The sequence below is a fragment of the Homo sapiens genome, chromosome 4, assembly GCF_000001405.40.
Source record: "Homo sapiens chromosome 4, GRCh38.p14 Primary Assembly".
NCBI classification, from domain to species: Eukaryota; Metazoa; Chordata; class Mammalia; order Primates; family Hominidae; genus Homo; species Homo sapiens.
In genome coordinates this window covers 122401247-122420410 of record NC_000004.12, presented here as the reverse complement: position 1 = coordinate 122420410, position 19164 = coordinate 122401247, and the positions used below count along the sequence as shown (strand labels likewise).

At 36.3% G+C, this 19164-nt stretch overlaps 1 protein-coding gene across 10 annotated transcripts in view; it reads right to left on the bottom strand.

Moving 5' to 3' along the window:
• Positions 1–19164, bottom strand: part of ADAD1 (adenosine deaminase domain containing 1) — a 50774-nt gene that overhangs the window by 9374 nt on the left and 22236 nt on the right. For 7 of the 10 annotated variants that reach the window (NM_139243.4, XM_005262743.4, XM_024453888.1 and 4 more), the window contains 4 exons: positions 12380–12503; positions 9019–9189; positions 7602–7831; positions 4795–5032 (listed from right to left, as the gene is read on the bottom strand). In NM_139243.4, coding sequence (NP_640336.1) covers positions 4795–5032; positions 7602–7831; positions 9019–9189; positions 12380–12503 — 763 coding nt within the window. The remainder of the gene's footprint in view (positions 1–4794; positions 5033–7601; positions 7832–9018; positions 9190–12379; positions 12504–19164) is intronic. The other 3 variants (XM_024453889.1, XM_005262744.4, NM_001159285.2) reach the window with 1 other exon arrangement.

Below are 19164 nucleotides of genomic sequence, written 5' to 3'. Positions count from 1 at the left end.
AGGACTAGCCTATTAGAGGGTAAGTGAACACAGGCTAAGATCAGCTCACCTGACCTTTAGTTGACCAACAGTTGACCCCAGATGTGTGGGAAAGCCCAAGAAAATCCAGAAAAACCATTCAGCTGACTCAAGAACTTCCAAGTAGTAACAATAGTTGTTTTAAACAACTAAGTTTTGAGGTAGTTTATACACAGCAATAGCTAACATACACTCATGTGTACAAAATCTATTGATTTCTACATATTAATTTTCCACCATGACACTTTTGTTGCAGTGGTTTTGATAATTTTCTTGATTTTTGGATATAAATACCATCTTCAAAGAGTGATAATTGTAGCTCCTTCTTTCCAATATTTTCTCTCTCTCATTTCCCTTGTCCAAATGTATTAATGCCTCCAGTAAAATGCTGAGTAACAGCAATAACAGTAAATAATGTCTTGCTCTGAATGTTAGTGGGAATGCCTCTGACATTTTATCAATCATGATAATATTTTTTGACTAATAAAGATATACTTTATCCTGTAAAAAAACTACCTAGCTATTCCTTTTTATTGAGTATCTTAATCTAGAATAGTTGTAGAGCTAAATTATTTATACACCTTCTTAGAATTTATAGAGATAAACATATGATATTTTCCCTAGATTAATTAATATGACACATTAGTAAGAGTTTCTAGTCTGGTATTATTTCTATTACGTTACTATCTTAGTATTCCTAGAAAAAAATGCCAGTTGGTGTTACTGTATAAAACATATTATTGTAATGTGCTGTTAAATTCTGCTCCCTGATCTTTTATACAGCAATTTTTCTTGGATATAGGTGAGTTTGGTCTGTAATTTTGTGTGGTGGAGAGGAGGAGCAGCAATTTCTTTTGTAAACTTTTAAGTTCAGGGGTACATGTGCAGGTTTTTTCTATAGATAAATGTGTGTCATGGGGGTTTGTTGTACAGACTATTTCATCACCCAAGTATTAAGCCTAGTATTCATTAGTTATTTTTCCTGATCGTCTCCCTCCTCCCACTCTCCACCATCTGAAAGGCCTCACTGTGTGTTGTTCCCCTCTATGTGTCCACGTGTTCTCATCATTTAGCTCCTACTTATAAGAGAGAACATGCGAGATTTGGTTTTCTGTTCCCATGTTCATTTGCTAACGATAGCGGCCTCCAGCTCCATCCATGGCCCTGCAGAGGACATGATCTCATTCTTTTTTATGTCTGCATAGTATTCCATGATGTATATGTACCACATTTTCTTTATCCAGTCCATCATTGATGGACATTTGGAATGATTCCATGTCTTTGCTATTGTGAATAGTGCTGCAATGAGCATATGCGTGCAAGTGTCTTTATAACAGAATGATTTATATTCCTTGGGGTATATACCCAGTAATGGGATTGCTGGGTCAAATGGTATTTCCATCCTTAGGTCTTTGAGGAATTGCCACACTGTCTTCCACAACGGTTGAACTAATTTACACTTCCACCAATAGTGTATATGTGTTCCTTTCTCTCCACAACCTCACCAGCATCTGTTTTTTGACTTTTTGATAATAGCCATTCTGATTGGTGTGAGATAGTATCTCATTGTGGCTTTGATTAGCAATTTTAAAAAATCAGATTTAAGTATTATATACTTGTTTCATAAAAGTATTTGGATGCTTTCCATCTTTTTGGATAGCAGTGGAATTATCTGCTTTTTAAAGGTTTAGAAAAAAACCCTCTGAACTACCTCAGAATGGTACTTTGAGGAACAGCTAAGGTGCCTTCTTGGTAACTTTCTCATGAAAATAACGTTTATTGGTGGCTCACGCCTGTAATCCCAGCACTTTGGGAGGCCAAGGCGGGCGGATCATGAGGTCAGGAGATAGAGACCATCCTGGATAACACGGTGAAACCTCCTTTCTACTAAAAATACAAAAAATTAGCTGGGTGTGGTGGCGGGCGCCTGTAGTCTCAGCTACTCGGGAGGCTGAGGCAGGAGAATGGCGTGAACCAGGAAGGTGAACCTGGAAGGTGGAGCTTGCAGTGAGCCGATATCGCGCCACTGCACTCCAGCCTGGGCGACAGAGCAAGACTCCGTCTCAAAAAAAAAAAAAAAAAAAAAGAAAATAACGTTTATATTTTTCCTCCTTCTATATATAAGTTTTGCAAGTAATGTTTTCCTAGAAATTTATCCATTTCATTCAGGTTTTAAATTATATTTGTGTGGTTACCTAAAATAGCTTATGATCCTCTTAATTTTCTCTATTTCTGATTGCATCCTTATCTATTATTTTATATGACATTGGTGATTTTTCTTATCAGCATTTCATAAGTAATTCTGACTTTTTTGTTTTTTAAAGCTCTTTTCTTTATATTTCTAATTTATTTCTATCATTTATTGTTACATGCACTTAAGGCTCTGACTTTTCTATTCAGCTTTGTTTAAACTGTATAACCTACAAGTTCTGATATGTAATATTTTCAATATCCCTATTTTCTAAATATTCTGCAATTTCAGTTTATATTTCCCCTTTGAACCAGGAGTCAGAATTTTTCCAGTAAAATCAGCTCCTAGTATTCTGGTTTGTTATTCACAGTTTTATCTCCTCATAATCAGAGAATATGTCTACATTGCTTCTACTTTTCCTTTGGAATTTGTTATTTTCTTTGTCGTTTAACACACAGTCAGCTTTTTGTTAGTGTTCTATAGTTTCTTGAGGACTAGGTACATTTTATATTTTTATGATGCAGAGTTTAAAGTAATGAAATCTACCTTACTGTTATTTAAAACGGCTATATCTTTGTTTACTGTTTTGTCCACCTGATCTACCATGAACTGAAAGAGGTGAATTGTTGTCTCTATTAGCAGTGTGTTTCTAGTTTTCCTTTCCTCTTGTCATCTATAATTTCCGCTTTGTGAATGTGGCTATGTCACGTTCTGCATAAACATTCTTAACTGTTCTGTCTTCCGTATAAATTATACTGTCTATATTGCTAAGGTTTTTTTTGTCTTATTGTAATGCTTTGAGACTGAATTACACCTTGTCTAATATTTAGACTATATATTCTGGCTTTTTTTTTTTTTTTTTTTAAAGATGGAGGCTCACTTTGTTGCTCAGGCTGGAGTGCAATGGTGCAATCTCAGCTCACTGCAACCTCCACCTCCTGGTTTCCAGTGATTTTCCCTGTCTCAGCCTCCCAAGTAGCTGGGATTACAGGAACCTGCCACCATGCCCAGCTAATCTTTTGTATTTTTAGTAGAGATGGGGTTTCGCCATATTGGTCAGGCTGGTCTCAAACTCCTGACCTCAGCTGATCTGCCCGCCTCAGCCTCCCAAAGTCTTGGGGTTATAGGCGTGAGCCACTGCACCCGGCCTCTGCTTTCTTTTTATTTGTAATTACTTGGCAAGTATTTGGCCGTAAAAAGTGATAAGCTCACACACTTAATTTCATCTTGTTATGCCATTATTTTATGTTTTCAGTGAATAATTTTTTGATGTCTTTCATAGAAGACCTGTTTGTCTGTGTGTTTAGTTGAGTCTGTTATTAATAGTAAAGCACTTGTTTATGCTGGCCTAAGTCATTTGATAATAGTATAATTCATCCTAGTTAAAATATCAGTGTTATGCTTAACTGAGTCCATACTAAGAAATGTTTATGGGTTTGTCTGTTTTTTTCTTTTTTTTTTCCCTTTTTGAGATAGGGTCTCACTCTGTTGCCCAGGCTGGAGTGCAGTGATACAGTCATAGCTCACTGCAGCTTCAAACTCCTAGGTTCAAGTGATCCTCCTGTCTCAGCCTCCCAAATAGCTGGAACTCCAGGTATGCACTCCCACTCCTGGTTAATACTTTTTATTTTTTATAAAAAAGACTGGATTTCTCACTATGTTTCCCAGATTGGTCTTGAACTCTTGGCTTCAAGCCATGCTCCTGCCTCAGCCTCCCAAACTGCTAGGATTACAGGTATGAGCTTTCTTGACTGCTAAGAAACATTTGTATGTGGTCTTCATTTAAATTTCTCCTTCACAAAGAAAGCAATTTTAAGCATTTAAATTTTTAACATTATTCACTGCCTCATTACAAATGTATGTTCACACTAAAAGAACAGTTTTACTTTTACTTAATAATCAATGGCAGAGACATTACGAAGAAATGTCTAGAAGGCACACAACATCATAGTTAAGAACAAGGGCTTTGAAAATAAAATGTCTGGGTTAGAACCCAAGCTGTGTCATTAACTACTTGGGTAACCTTAGGCAAGATATTTAACCTAGCTTGAGTCTCAGAAACTGTAAAAAATAAATAAATAAAATCTCTCAACCTACAGGGTTATTATAAGACAGTATAACACAGTACCATAGTTCTTACACGTAAGGGTACATAAGTAATATTTGGAAGAGCATAAAAAAATATAATTCCTGAGTCCCAGATCCAAAGTCAGATTCAGTAGAAGAAATTGAATTTCTAAAAAAATTTACATGATTCTAATACTAATGATATGAAATTACAGTTGGAGAAACATACGTTATGGAGCCAGATTCCTTGGGTTTGAAAGGTGACTCTGCCATTTAGTATGTAATTTCAGTAAGCTATATAACTTCTCCACATCTGTCTTCTCATCAGAAAAAAAATTTAAAATTAAAAAATTTTTAAAATTAGTACAATGCCTGTAACATAGTCACACTTGACTAATGATAATAATTATTGTTCAGAGTTCAATAAATAGTATCCAAAAGAGTCAGAATAAAAACTGCAATAAAATGTCTTCTTTTGCTTAAGTAATATATGGTTTAAAGAAATTAGTAATTTTAACCTTTCAGTGATCTTCCCACTCAGGCCATCCACAATCTCCAAAGAAACATCTCCTTGTGCCCAATTCAGACTCAGAAATTTATATTCCAAGTTCATTTGAAGGGGATATGCAGAGGGTACTAAACTAATATGAGGTCTGTTGACTAAGTAAAACATTGGAAGTTTTGAAGTGAGTGCATCATCAACACGTTGCTTTATAGCGATTTCTAAGCCTCTGGTATCACTGCAATTCCCATCACCTAGAAAGCAAAAACAAAACACTCAAGTTCAATATTAAAAGAACATCCCAAAATAAAATAAATGAAATGATTGGAAATCGTCTAAAGCCCATTTCTCTATCCTTTATCTTTCAACCTTCCCTTTCCTAGTTCTATTCTCTTAGCATCTACTCCATATTCTTAATCAGAACCAGAACAAGGTAATAACAGATTTTCCATTTTAAAAAAGACTCTGATACAGAAAATAATGACAGGTCCCTCTACTGAATATTAGCAAAGAGTCACAGCTGCTCAGAAACTGGTACTTTAGTAACTGACTCAGAAAGAAATCTGGTACATCCAGATTTGTTGACCGCATTGTATGCTGATTTCTTGCAAGTACAGTTGACAAATCTGGATGAGAAATAACTGGTGAAAGTGAGTTACTTTCAAACATCTAAGGGCCACAAATTACAACTTTGCCAATACCACAATGCTTCAATTTCACACTGCAAAATAATTTAAAGAATGACCATTTCTGGTTAAAACTGTGCCAATACCAAAAGCTTTGAATTCTCAGTTATAATAATTATTGAAGGAGAGATCTCAAAAAGATGCAATGTTACTACTAAAAAACAGTGAGCTGCATCAAACTTAAAACAGAAGTTAGGAAGCAGTCATTCTTATTTAAAAAACAGTAATTCTAAAGCATATCTCTTTCTTCCTCAGAAGGTCAGAAGTTCTTGCAACAACAGAATCTTTGTAAACCACTAGACATATTTCACAAATAAAGTTTTGTGTCCTTATGATTAAAATTGTTGAGATAGTTACTAGGGCTGCATTATGACTATCTGGGCACTAGAAAATGATGTAAAAAGGACATGTACTGCTTTTGGTATCCTTTTTCTAAACACTTCCTTAAGTGTTTATCAAGAGTGACAAATGATCAAGACAAAACAAGAGTGACAAAAGAAAACTAATCAAATAAAAATATACTTGGGCACAGAATAAAAGTTGGAAAAAAAATGTGTGAGGAATAGTTAATATATCTACAATGAACAGTAGATAATAAGGATTTTTAAAAAGCCTAATGTATTTATTACATTCTGCAATGAAATAATGACAGTAGTTGTACCCCCCCCCCCAAAAAAAAAGACATTTGGAAAAAGGAAGAAAAAAAAAACACCTGTAAGTCAAATTCCTCATGAAATGCTTTAAACATCAAATTGTTTACGTAGATGCTTTAATGGGAAGTATAAAACCTAATATAATAGAAAAAAGTTTATAAATATTTTATTATAAATTTTACTTTTTCCCTTCATATATGTGTGCATTAATAATTTACTATATCTGAGGTATGATTTTAATACATCTTGAGGCTCAATCTTGTTCCTAGAAAATAAATATCTAAAATTATACCATATAATTGAAAAATTATGATTTGATTCATTCAAAAGGATCTGAAATAACACGAAACTCCAAGGTTAAAGTCAAAGGTTAAATCTAATCAAACACTATAGAAGACCTGACCTGACAATAATTCATATATATATATATATATATATATATGATCTATCATAAGCAGCAGCGTGAAAAGTTATGAAAACTGGGTTTGAATTCAGGCTCTACCACTAAGCAAACTGACTGACTTTAGGCAAGCATTTTATTAACATTCTGAATGTGATCTGAAAAAGAAAGGACTGAATAACAGATTCCCTAAGGTTATCAGCTGCTTCTTAAAAGTCCACGAACTATATTTAAAGTGGATTTCTTCACTAGGAAGGATTCTCTACACTTCAATTATACAAATCAAATCAGTATATGAAAAGGACCTCTGGATGGAAATAACTTCTGGACAAACATTTTTGAAGTACTTAAGCAGAAAAAATAATTGTAATGGGGTTACCAAATTTGCAAGATATATTGTAAAAAGCTTGAGAATGAATATAAATCTAGCTATTTTTTAATAGTCAAGAAAGAGAATTTTTTTCCAGATTACTCTATCTAAATAGTTCTGTTTAAATATAGTAAATGCCCTTTTAATGCAAGCCTAGATCCCATGTTTTAAATTTAAAAATTCCACCACCATAAAATGACAAAATGATTATCTACAGAACATCCACAGCATAAAATTTGTTTCTGCAAACTTTTTGAAAAGTAAAATAATGCTTTAAAATAATGTTGGGGTACAGAAAACAATTCCTCAAAATATGAAACTTCAGCATGCTGAGTGCTTTGAAAATTGAAAGGCCTCAGAAATAAGCTTCACAACCAAGGTTTTTCTCTGATCTTTCCCTCATTTCCCTGTGTCTCTGATCTTTCCCAAAGCACCAGAAGGAGCTCTCTCTGGAATTTCCTTATCCAGCTGGACGGTCACTACAACTTATGGCATCTTTATCCCACAACCTCTGCCTCCCACCTTTGGGATTCATTCATTCTCCCTGATAATTTATCATGAAACCAACAGCTCTACAAAACAGCAGATCTGTGTTTTGACCTTAAATAAAGTTTCACGTATGCAAAAACTAAAACTAATTTTATACTGATAAGTAAAATACAGAGAATTTGCTTAGTGAGTGAGAGGCCCAGGAGGTTCTGAAATCCCACTCACCAATAAGTATACTGCTGATGTAAACTGGCTGTATAAAATGACTCAGCAATGCTCCCTGTACACCAAGCACTTCCCATCTGGTCAATTTGTCACTTGAGGACATACTGCTTATTCTATTAACACCATCTTTAGGACAGTAAACAGTCAGATAAATTTTGCCTTCAACAGCCACGTGGAGACAGAGTTCTTCATTGGCTTCAAATGCAGATATAGAATGTGGATTAAGACGTCTAGAGAAAGAAAAGAAAGTTTCTTCCTTTAAAAAACAAAGGTGACAGAACAAAATCTACCTGTACCTAACAGCTGTTCTGTAACATGTTTAACTTCCCAGTGTACATTTAATTCCAGTAACAGAAACAGATGCAAGAAAGCAAGGTAGGAGTGGAGTGCCTTTATTCTACAATAGTACTATAAAACAGAAATGAACCACATCTAGAGCTTCCAACAGAGATATTTTTCATATTATCACCACTTTATGTCCCTTAAAACCCAAAGAAACACTAATTGTTATCCCTATCATAGTTTGTGAATTAGTTCCTTCCTCTGTATGAAAATTTTTTAAAATTACAAAATGAAAGAATGAAAAAAAGGAAAACTATTTTTCTTTGTCATCTTCAATAAAAATGCAAAATTATTTTTCTTTAAGGTTCTTTCTAGAGAACACTGACCTTAATTTCAAAGGTGTTCCTAGAGGGATTTTTATTAAAATATTACCCATGTTTACCACTAGATGGTCAGACTTAAAGTGACTTTTACTGTCTTCTTTGTTCTTGTTTGTACTGTTTAAATGTTATGCTACCTGATGATATTCATTCATCAAAGCAATAATATTTTGGCCATAGGTTAAAGTTTTTCTTAACTCTCGTATTTGTATGTGAGTAGTGCATAAATCCATACTTCCTCAAGTTTATGAGGTCTTAAAAGTAGAAAGGAGTAGAAGATTTTTTTAAAGCATAGCATAGCAAAAAAAGTGGTGAAGTACATGGAACTTTTAGTCACAGGTTGAGTGTTGCTTATCTAAAATGCTTGGAACTAGAAGTGTTTCAGATTTTATTTTTTTCACACTGGAATATTTGCTTTATACATACCAGTTGAACACAAATCCAAAAATCTGAAATATGAAATGCTCCAATGAGAATTTCCTTTGAGCGTCATGTCAGTGCTCAAAAAGTTTCCAATTCTGGAGCATTTTGAATCTCAGACTTTTGGATTTGGGAAGCTCAACCTGTAGAAGTAATAGATTAGATTGACGGGAAGGGAAAAGGATTTGGGGTCTCCTGCAGGCCACAAATAACAACTCAAAGCTGAAGAGAAAATACGGGTAATTAGAATTTATATGTTCTATTTGCTGTAGAAAGTCAGAATGTATGGCATGGCCATCCTACTTGCTTTTAAAAACAACTTCTATAATACTTACAACTGTGACTTAATCTGGGCTGATCCTTTAGGCAACTGGTTCATGTAAAGGCAAATGTTGATATTCTGTTTAAGAGTGAGTAGATTAGAAGTTGGTTCTGTACAAAATATTGATTTTTCCATCATAGCAGGATTTTTGCTGTAGAAGAGCAGAAGTTGTCTATAAAAGTACCTAAAATAAATGTTATAATTTTGTCAAGTAATAAACTTTATAAAAGATATATCTTAATGAGCATCATGTCCACATGTGTCAGAAGCAATGTCCTGCATGTTAAAAGTTTTGACACAGGTAAGAACTCCTAAATCAATCTTAGCTTTATTTAATGAAAAATTAAGTTTCTTGAAAGTTCTCAACTGGAGCCCAGTCTGCCCTGTAACCTGACTTAAAACACCATCCTTTCTCTACTACTCCACTTTTGTTTCACATTAGAGTCTCCCAACTATCATCTTCTCCAAAAGACTCATTTCTCTACTGATTGCTCCCTTCTTCCTCAGAGAGTTCTGCTCCCAGCCTCCCAGATGAACTGCCAACTTTCTGCCTTACTTCTATTTCCCCTTACCTACCCAAACAAACTACTACAAAAATGACAAAAACTGTGGTCCCTGCTCCTTAATGGTTTTAAAGAAAAAATACAAGAGCATAGGAACAATACAATGAACACCAGAAGCTGTATTAAGAAATGAAGCAGATACAGTTACCAATAATTTATTGTATGTTTCAAAATAACTAAATGAGTGGAAATGGAATGCTCCTAACACAAAGAAATGAAAAACGATTGAGGAGAGGGATATCCCAATTACCCTGACTTGATCATTACACATTTAATGGTTGTATCAAAATATCACATTTACCTTATAAATATGCAGATTATATATTCACAATAATTAAAAATTTTAAAATTCAAATTTTTTTTTCTAAAAAGGGAAGCAGATCTCCTGAAAGACTACAACTAATCAAATCAAGGACAAATACTATTTTGCTTATTTAATAAACCATGACTTTAAGATATACTCCCTTGAATCCCATCATCAAAAATATATAGTAAAAATTAAGCAGCAGTATGTAAAAACGCCAAGCACAGGAATAAGTAACACAAAAGAGGTAGCTTTTAAAGAGGTCAAATAATTCCATAAGCACCAAGAGGGGTGGAGGGCAATGAGATGCATTACCCTCATAGTCTTGCTGAATAATGTTTAAGATTATAGGATTCCTCATTATTAGAGACACAAATTTATATTTTTTCAGGTGTATGTATCTAAATTTATTTTAAAATACTCTAGTGAAGAAAACACCAACACAAAAAGTGAGAATGCAGAGATTTAACAAGGACAGTAGAATGCTAATAACTGTTGAAGCTGAATGAGAATTTGTTATCCTATTCTCACTTGAGTGTCTTTGAAAACATCCGTAAGAGGCCAGGCACGGTGGCTCACCCCTGTAATCCCAGCATTTTGGGAGGCCGAGGGGGGCAGATCACAAGGTCAGGAGGTCAAGACCAGCAACATTCTCTACTAAAGATACAAAAAAAGGCCGGGTATGGTGGCAGGTGCCTGTAATCCCAGCTACTCGGGAGGCTGAGGCAGGAGAATTGCTTGAACCTGGGAGGCGGAGGTTGCAGTGAGTGGAGATCTCGCCATTGCACTCCAGCCTGGGCAACAGCGTAAGACTCCGTCTCAAAAACAAACAAACAAAACACACAAAAAACCGCCCAAAACATCCATAAGAAAAAGTTAAATAAAAAGTCATTTTAATGGTTTAAAGAACCAAAATGAATAAGATCTAGTATTTGATGGCACAACAGGATGACAATAGTCAATAATTTAATTGTACATTTTAAAATAACTAAATGACTATAATTGAAATCTTTGTAACACAAGATAAATGCTTGAGGTGATACATACTCCATTTACCCTAAAGTGACTATTATGCACTGTATGCCTGTGTCAAAATAGCTTATGAACGCTATAAACATATACACTATGTACCCACAAAAATTAAAAATAAGAAATTATAAAATTTAAAAAAGAATTCCTAATTTAGTAGGAATAAAGAAGAATTAAAAACAAAACAAAAAATAACCAAAAGCTGGTGGATATTATGAGAAGTAGCACTCATTTCCCATTTTACATGTTTTCATATGAAGTGACTTGCAAATTCCTTTCTTTCCCACTTGCTATTCATTCCTCTTGTAAAGAACAGAGTGACTGAGTCTGGAAAAAGAAACTAGGCATGCTCACCTAAGCCCTTTTCTCCCTCTCTCTTCAAGATATGTCAGCCTCAAGAATCCCTTATCTATATACTCTGCTTTATGGTAAACTTTGTGTAATCCTCATGAATAAAAACCTGTTGGTTTCTGGTGCTGTCCTTGGACAATTATGGCTAATTCAGGGGTGAAATAAGACCAAGCCTACTTAGTGCGGGTCAAAAGCTACACTTTCCAGTAACTTTAGTCATAAAAAAGTGTTATTTTTATCTTTCAAAAAAATATATTGTAGGATTTTTTTTTTTTTGAGACAAGATGTACGTCTATTGCCCATGATGGAGAGCAGTGGAGCAGTCTTGGTTCACTGCAACCTCGATTTTCTGGGCTCAATCAATCCTCCCACCTCATTCTCCAAAGTAGATGGGACTACAGTTGTGTGCCACCATACCTGGTTAATTTTATTTTTTTGTAGAAACTAGGTCCCACAATGTTGCCCAGGCTGGTCTCGAACTCTTGTACTCAAGCAATCCTCCCACCTCAGCTTCCCAAAGTGTTGGGATTACAGGTGAGAGCTACTATGCCCAGCTGATTGCAGGATTCTTAAAACTGAGTTTGGCCGGGTGCGGTGGCTCACCCCTGTAATCCCAGCACTTTGGGAGGCCAAGGCAAGTGGCTCACCTGAGATCAGGAGTTCAAGACCAGCCTGACCAACATGGTGAAACCTTGTCTCTACTAAAATACAAAAAAGTAGCCGGGTGTGTTGGCGCATGCCTGTAATCCCAGCTATTTGGGAGGTTGAGACAATAGAATCGCTTGGACCTGGAAGCCAGAGGTTGCAGTAAGCCGAGATTTGTGCCACTGTATTCCAGCCTGGGCAGCAAAAGTGAAACTCCATTTCAAAACAAAACAAAACAACAAAAACTGAGTTCACAGTTCTTAATAATAGAAGCCACTAAAATCCACAGGGTAGACATTGGCGTTACTATGATAAATGTTCCAAAGGTGACATGGAATTAATCCGATGACTTAGATAAGAAAATGTGACATCCTTGGCTCTATGATCAATAAAATTCCATTTGTAAATGAAGACATTTATATGAAGTTACTTTGGGCTGAGGGCATTCATATTTAATAACATTAATATATGTATTGTCTTACCTAAGAAGAGACCTTCTTGCTGTAACAACAGCATGAGTGTCATGCAATACTCTTCCATCTGGCTTAATGTCCTGGCTGTAATTGTATTCACCTGTGCCTATAGCTACAACCTCATGTTGTCCAGCTGAAAGAAAAAGGTAGACAGTAGCAGGTTAATTTAACCTCTCTCTTCCCTACATTCACCTCTTACCTCTATCTCATCATTTTTAATTTAGTAGAATATATTAACTGAAAAGATGAAAAAATAATTCCACAATTTAAAATAAGAGTCTTAGAGTCTTCTAAGAAGCAAAATTAAAAAGGCAGATGTTTTATAATGAAATATAAATGAAAAAGGCAGATGTTTTATAATACTTCATCTAAATCTTTACCATGATCAATGGAATTACCAAATGTCCTTGGCTTTCAAATATCGCTTTCTATTTCTTCTACATCTAGATGTATTTGATCTTCTAAGACACTTCATTTGCCATTCTGCTTCTGTCTTAAATTATCTATATTTAATGCCTCTAATTTTTCTTAATCCACTCAAACCCTATAAATCAAATTAATTTCTTTCTCTGTTCTACTGAAGCTGCTTTCTTAAAAACAAAAAACAAACAAACAAAAAAACCTTATGCTTTTTCCAGTAACTTTGCTCCATTCACATTTTGCTGTGGCCTGCTTGAAATCTCCTGGAAATTCTATGCTCCAAAAATACACAATTCAAATTGGCAGTCTTTTTTCCTCTCACATTCTGATTAGGTCTTTCCATTCCCCAGTGACTAGATCACTCTTTTTTTTCCCCATATTCCCCTTTGAATATACTCCTCATTCTTTCTATCTCTTACTTCAGGAAATCTTGAGTTTTCGTTTTTCAAACAAAGTTCAGTTCTACATTCACAACCGCCTAATGGATTTTTACTATTAGGCTGGTGCAAATGTAACTGCAGTTCTTGTCATTTTTTTTTTTGGCACCAACCTAATAACTCAGCAACAATTGCTGAGGTGTTACCAAGTACCAGGCAACAAAAGTAGATGTTAGGAATAAAATGTTGAGCAAGACATACCTTCATGAGGCTTACAGCAGAAGAAACAGAAAAAAGATTAAACCAACCCCAAAGTGTGATAAGTGCTTTGAAGGAAACAATTATGGGGCTTATATGAAGATAATGAGAGAAAAGCTTACCTCATGCAGACCAGTTGCAGAATCCCTCCCTAACGAGCTGAAATTTAAGCTTCAGCACCAGCGAGACAAAGGGTATTCTAGCCAAAAGAAATAACACGTGCACACTGCCCTGGGCAAAGACAGAAGACTATTTCTCTCCTGGGCAAAGAGAGAAGTATAGCTAATCTAGTAAGTGGGGTGAAGGGGATGGTGTAAGATGAAGTTGGAGAAAGAGGTGTTATATAGTATACTATACTGAGAAGTTTATGGATTTTTACCAAAGAGCTATGGGGAAGCTACTGAAGTAAAAACCATCTTGGGTTACATTTCCTTCCTACAAAGCAAACAAAATAATCGACAAAATAAAAAGACAACTTACGGAACAGAAGAAAATATTTGCAAACCATATCTCCAATAAGGGGTTAATACCCAAAGTATATATGTAACTCCCACAACTCAACAGTAAAAAGCAAGTAACTTGATTTAAAAATGGAAACAGAACCTGAACAGACATTTTCTTTTATAGAAGACATACAAACAGGTATATGAAAAGGTGCTCAACATCACTAATCACCAGAGAAATGCAAGTCAAAATCACAATGAGATATCCTCACTCCTGTTAGGATGTCTATTATCAAAAAGTCAAAATGTAAGTTTTCGTGAGGATGTAGATAAAACCCTTATATGTTGTTGGCAGAAATGTAAATTTTTATAGGCATTGTGGAAAACTATGGAGATTCCTCAACAAAATAAAAATATAACTTGCCATATAATCCAGCAATCCCACTTCTGTGTATATATCCAAAGGAAGTGAAATTAAGATTGGAAGAAATATCTACACTCCCATGTTCACTGTAGCATTATTCACAATAGCCAAGATACAGAAAAAACCTACATGTCCCAATAAAGGAACAGATAAAGAAACCATGACATATATATAATGGAATATTTTTCAGCCCCCCCAAAAAGAAGAAAATTCTGCCATTTTCAACAATATGAATGAACCTGGAAGACATTATGTTAAGTGAAGTAAGCCAGACACAGAAAGACAAACACTGCATAATCTCACTCATATGTGGAATCTAAAAAGGTTGAACTCGTAAAAACAGAGTAGAATGGTGGTTACTAGCGGTTAGAAAGAAGGGGAAATGGAGACACATTGATCAAAGGGTACAAACTTGGAGTTGTAAAACTAATAACTCCTGGAGACCTAATGTAGAGCATGGAGACTACAGTTAATAATAATGTATTGTATATTTGAAATTTGTTGTCAATATTGTGGGTGGTAGGGTGGAGAGCAGGTAGACCAGGAGGGTACTGTGGTAGAAAAAACAAGGAGTGGTAAACTGTGTTAAATGTTTCTAGAAAGTCAAGTGAATAGGTAACAAAATCCACTGGATTGTGCAACATGCAGGCAGTGGGTACCTTGGCAAGGCTAATTTCCAAGAAGTAGTGGAGAAAAAGAAAAAACTAAGTTGAAGTAAAGAGTAGACACAGTGGCTGTCAGGAGCTTCTTGATGAAGTCTGGCTACAAAGTCAAATAAATAATGACTGGGTTAAGTAGAAAGGTGTCATGGGTTTAAAGGAGGGTTTCTTTGTTTTATTTTTAGGATGGAAATTTGGGAAGCCAGGCTTTCCAGAATACTGAAGAGATGAAAGCAAAGATATATTATTCATGGACACCTGGGCACAGACTCTGCTTTCATTCCTAGGATACGGATGTCATGCCATGAATGCTGAATCTGACTCAATAACCAGGTCCGTAAACCTTCCCTTAAATAGAATTATATAGTGTCAGTATAAGTTCCGGAATGGTGATAATAAGCTCTGAGTTGTAAAGGGTAATAATGTAGCAAAGAACTCAGCTTCTTTCTCAGCTCTGTAACTCAACTTGCAATGCTTCAGGGAGATACTTGTTTGTTATTGCCGGAAAAAAGAAGAGTTAACCAAAAGAAGGAATTTAGCAAGATGTGAGAAGGAATGGAATCAGAATTTAAGTAGAAGAATTAGCCTATAGGAGGAGTGATGCTTCCTCTACTGTCACAGTAGAGAAGATGGGTACAAGTGCAGGAAAGTATATAGATTTGGTGGCAGGGGAGGGAAGGACATTTAGATCTGATAGCTTCTTATAGACCCAATTAAAAATGATAAGGTGATTTTTGATGGGGGAAAATGGCAGATAGGACACAGGACTAACATGCAGCTTCCACTTGGATGAACAGAATAGCGTGTGGAGACTCACATCATGAACTTTTACTCCAAGAACCACTGCAGGAACATACCAGGAAAACCAAAGGAATTTACAGACCCTTTGAAAGAAGTAGCTTGCCATTGCAAACTCTGTGAGACAGCTGAAAAACTGAGTTCCCAAAGTGTGAGGTGGGGAAAAGCCTACCTCTGAACACACATCCCTACTGGGGAACCTAAAAATCCAGATCACAGGAGAAGGATTTAACTTTCCCTAGAGATGAAATAAATTTAGGGAGCCAAGCAAAACAGAAGACCAACAGCGGGAAGAGCCCTGTAGGAGATCCCAGTCCCCAGCCTATGGAAGTCATCCCTGGCTTTATCTCACAGGGGTCCTTGAGTAACGCAGCCAGTGGGACTGGGAAGGGGCTACAGGTTAAAGGAAGCTTCTAGCTGAAGTCTGTAATAATTTTGACCAAGCACAAATTTTCCTGAGCAGAATCCATGGGGGTGAATGGGAAGTGCAGATAGGAGTGCAGAAGCCACACCCTATGACAGGCTCCAGGCCTGAAAGCCCTGCTTGCTTTCTCAGTGGGGAGGATTATAGCCTCCTCGTGCAAGATCTCAGCGCTGCCTGCTGCAGCCTGAATATAAACTGGGCTCTGTTGGCGGGGCACTGCAGGAGTGAGACTGGCCTTGTTGGCTGTGTGGGGGCTGGGTGAGGCCTGTCAGTGCTGGCTTTCCCCAACTTCCCTGGTGACATGTATGACAGAGCAGAGGCAGCCATAATCCCCCTAAAACATAACTCCATTGGACTGAGAAGCATCCTGCCATTCCCCACCGTGGCCACAGCACAAGAAGAGTCTGAGCTCAGACCCACCTAACCCTGCTTCTATCTGATGGTTTTTCTCAACCTATGCTGGTAGCCGAAGACAAAAGGCACTCTTGGGAGCTCTACAGCCCCATCCACTGCCAGAGAAACCTGAATACTTATCCTGGCTAAGGTAGGGCAAGCTTATATCCCCCCATTCTCCTACGACAGATGGTGCCCTCTTGAAAGTGCCACCTCCTGACTGGAGGCCAATCAACTCAAGCCATTACAGCAACTCGTAACAGAACCACCCTGCTCCAAAGAAGGAGAAAACAACAGCTAATTTCACCGCCTGCAACATCCTGGCTAAGCAGAGGTCCTGAGTCTGTCCATGTGACAACTTCACTGCCAGTGTAACCAGCATTTGAGAAAACCAGCACACTAAACAAAACTATAACCAAGGATTCCCACAGAGTCCACTTCGCTACCCTGCCACCTCTACCAGAGCAGGTTCTGGTATTTATGGCTGGGAGACCTGAAGATGGATCACATCACAGGACTCTTTGCAGACGTTCTCCAGCACCAGCCTGGAGCCCGGTAATCCTGCTGGATGGCTACACCCAGAAGGGCAATAATAATCACTGCAGTCTGGCTCTCAGGAAAACCCATCCTTAGGGGAAGGGGGAGAGCACCACATCAAGGGCTCACCCCATGGAAAAAAAAGAATGTGAAGAGCAGGCCTTGAGTTCCAGATATTTCCACTGAAACAGTCTCCCCAAATGAGAAGGAACCAGAAAAGTAAATCTGGTAATATGACAAAACAAGATTCTGTAACACCCCCAAAAGTTCACACTAGCTCTCCAAGCAATGCATCCAAACCAAGAATAAATCTCTGAACTGCCAGATAAAGAATTCAGAAGATTATTAAGCTCCTCAAGGAGGTACCAGAGAAAGGTGAAAACCAACTTAAAGAAATTAAAAACATATATAGGGTATGGATAAAAAAGTCTCCAGAGAAATAGCTATCATAATGAAAATAAAATCATGACTTCTGGAAAAGACACACTTAGAGAAATACAAAATGCACTGGAAAGTTTCAGCAATAGACTAGAAGAGGTAGAAGAAATAACTTCAGAGCTCAAAGACAATGCTTTTAATTAATCCAATCTGACAAAGACAAAGAAAACAGAATATAAAAAAATGAACAAAGCCTCCAAGAAATTTGGGATTATGTTAAATGACTAAACATAATAACTATGGTGTTCTTGAGGAAGAAGAGAAATCTAAAAGTTTGGAAAACATATTTGAAGGAAAAATTTAGGAAAACTTCACAGGCCTTGCTAGAGATGTAGACATCCAAATATAAGCAGCTCAAAGAACACCTGGGAAATTCATCACAAAAAGATCATCACCCAGGCACAAAGTCATCAGGCTATCTAAAGTCAAGATGAAGGAAAGAATCTTAAGAGCTGTGAGAAAAAAGCATCAGGTAACCTATAAAGGAAAACCTATCAGATTTACAGTAGATTTCTCAGCAGAAACCCTACAAGTCAGAAGGGATTGGGGTCTTACCTTTAGACTCCTTAAACAATAATTATCAGCCAAGAATATTGTATCTAGCAAAACTGAGCTTCATGAATGAAGGAAAGATAAAGTCTTTTTCAGACAAACAAATGCTAAGAGAATTCACCACTGCGAAGCCAGTATTAAATAAATGCTAAAAGGACTTATGAATCTTGAAACAAAATGTCAAAATACACCAAAATAGAAGCTCATAAAAGCATAAATTTCACAGGGCCTATAAAACAATAACACAATTAAAAAAAAAACACCCAAGGTATTCAGGCAACAACTACTATGATGAATAGAACAGTACCCTATATCTCAAGACTAATGTTGTATGTAAATGGCCTAAATGCTCCACTTAAAAGATACAGAATTGCAGAATGGATAAGAACTCACCAACCAAATTTCTGCTGTCTTCAAGAGACTCACCTAACACATAAGGACTCACATAAGGTAAAGAGGTGGAAAAAGATACTCCATGCAAATGGAAACCAAAAGCAAGCAGGAGTAGCTATTCTTATATCAGATAAAACAAACTTTAAAGCAGAAGCAGTTAAAAAAGACACAGAGGGACATCATATAATGATAAAAGGATTAGTCCAACAAGAAAATATCATAATCCTAAATATATATGCACTTAACACTGGAGCTCACAAATTTATAAAATAATTACTACTACCTAAGAAAAAAGATAGACGGCAACACAATAATAGTCGGGGACTTTAATACTCCACTAACAACACTACACAGGTCATCAAGACAAAAGTCAACAAAGAAACAATGGACTTAAACTATACCCTACAACAAATGAACTTAGCAGATATTTACAGAACATTCTATCCAACAACTGCAGAATATACATTCTATTTATTAGCACCTGGAATATTCTACCAGATACACCATATGACAGGTCACAAAACAAGTCTCAGTAAATTTAAGAAAATTGAAATTATATCAAGTACTCTCTCAGACTACAGTGGAATAAATTTGAAAATTAACTCCAAAAGGAACACTCAAAACTATACAAGTATATGGACATTAATCTGCTCTTGAATGATCTTTGTATCAACAATG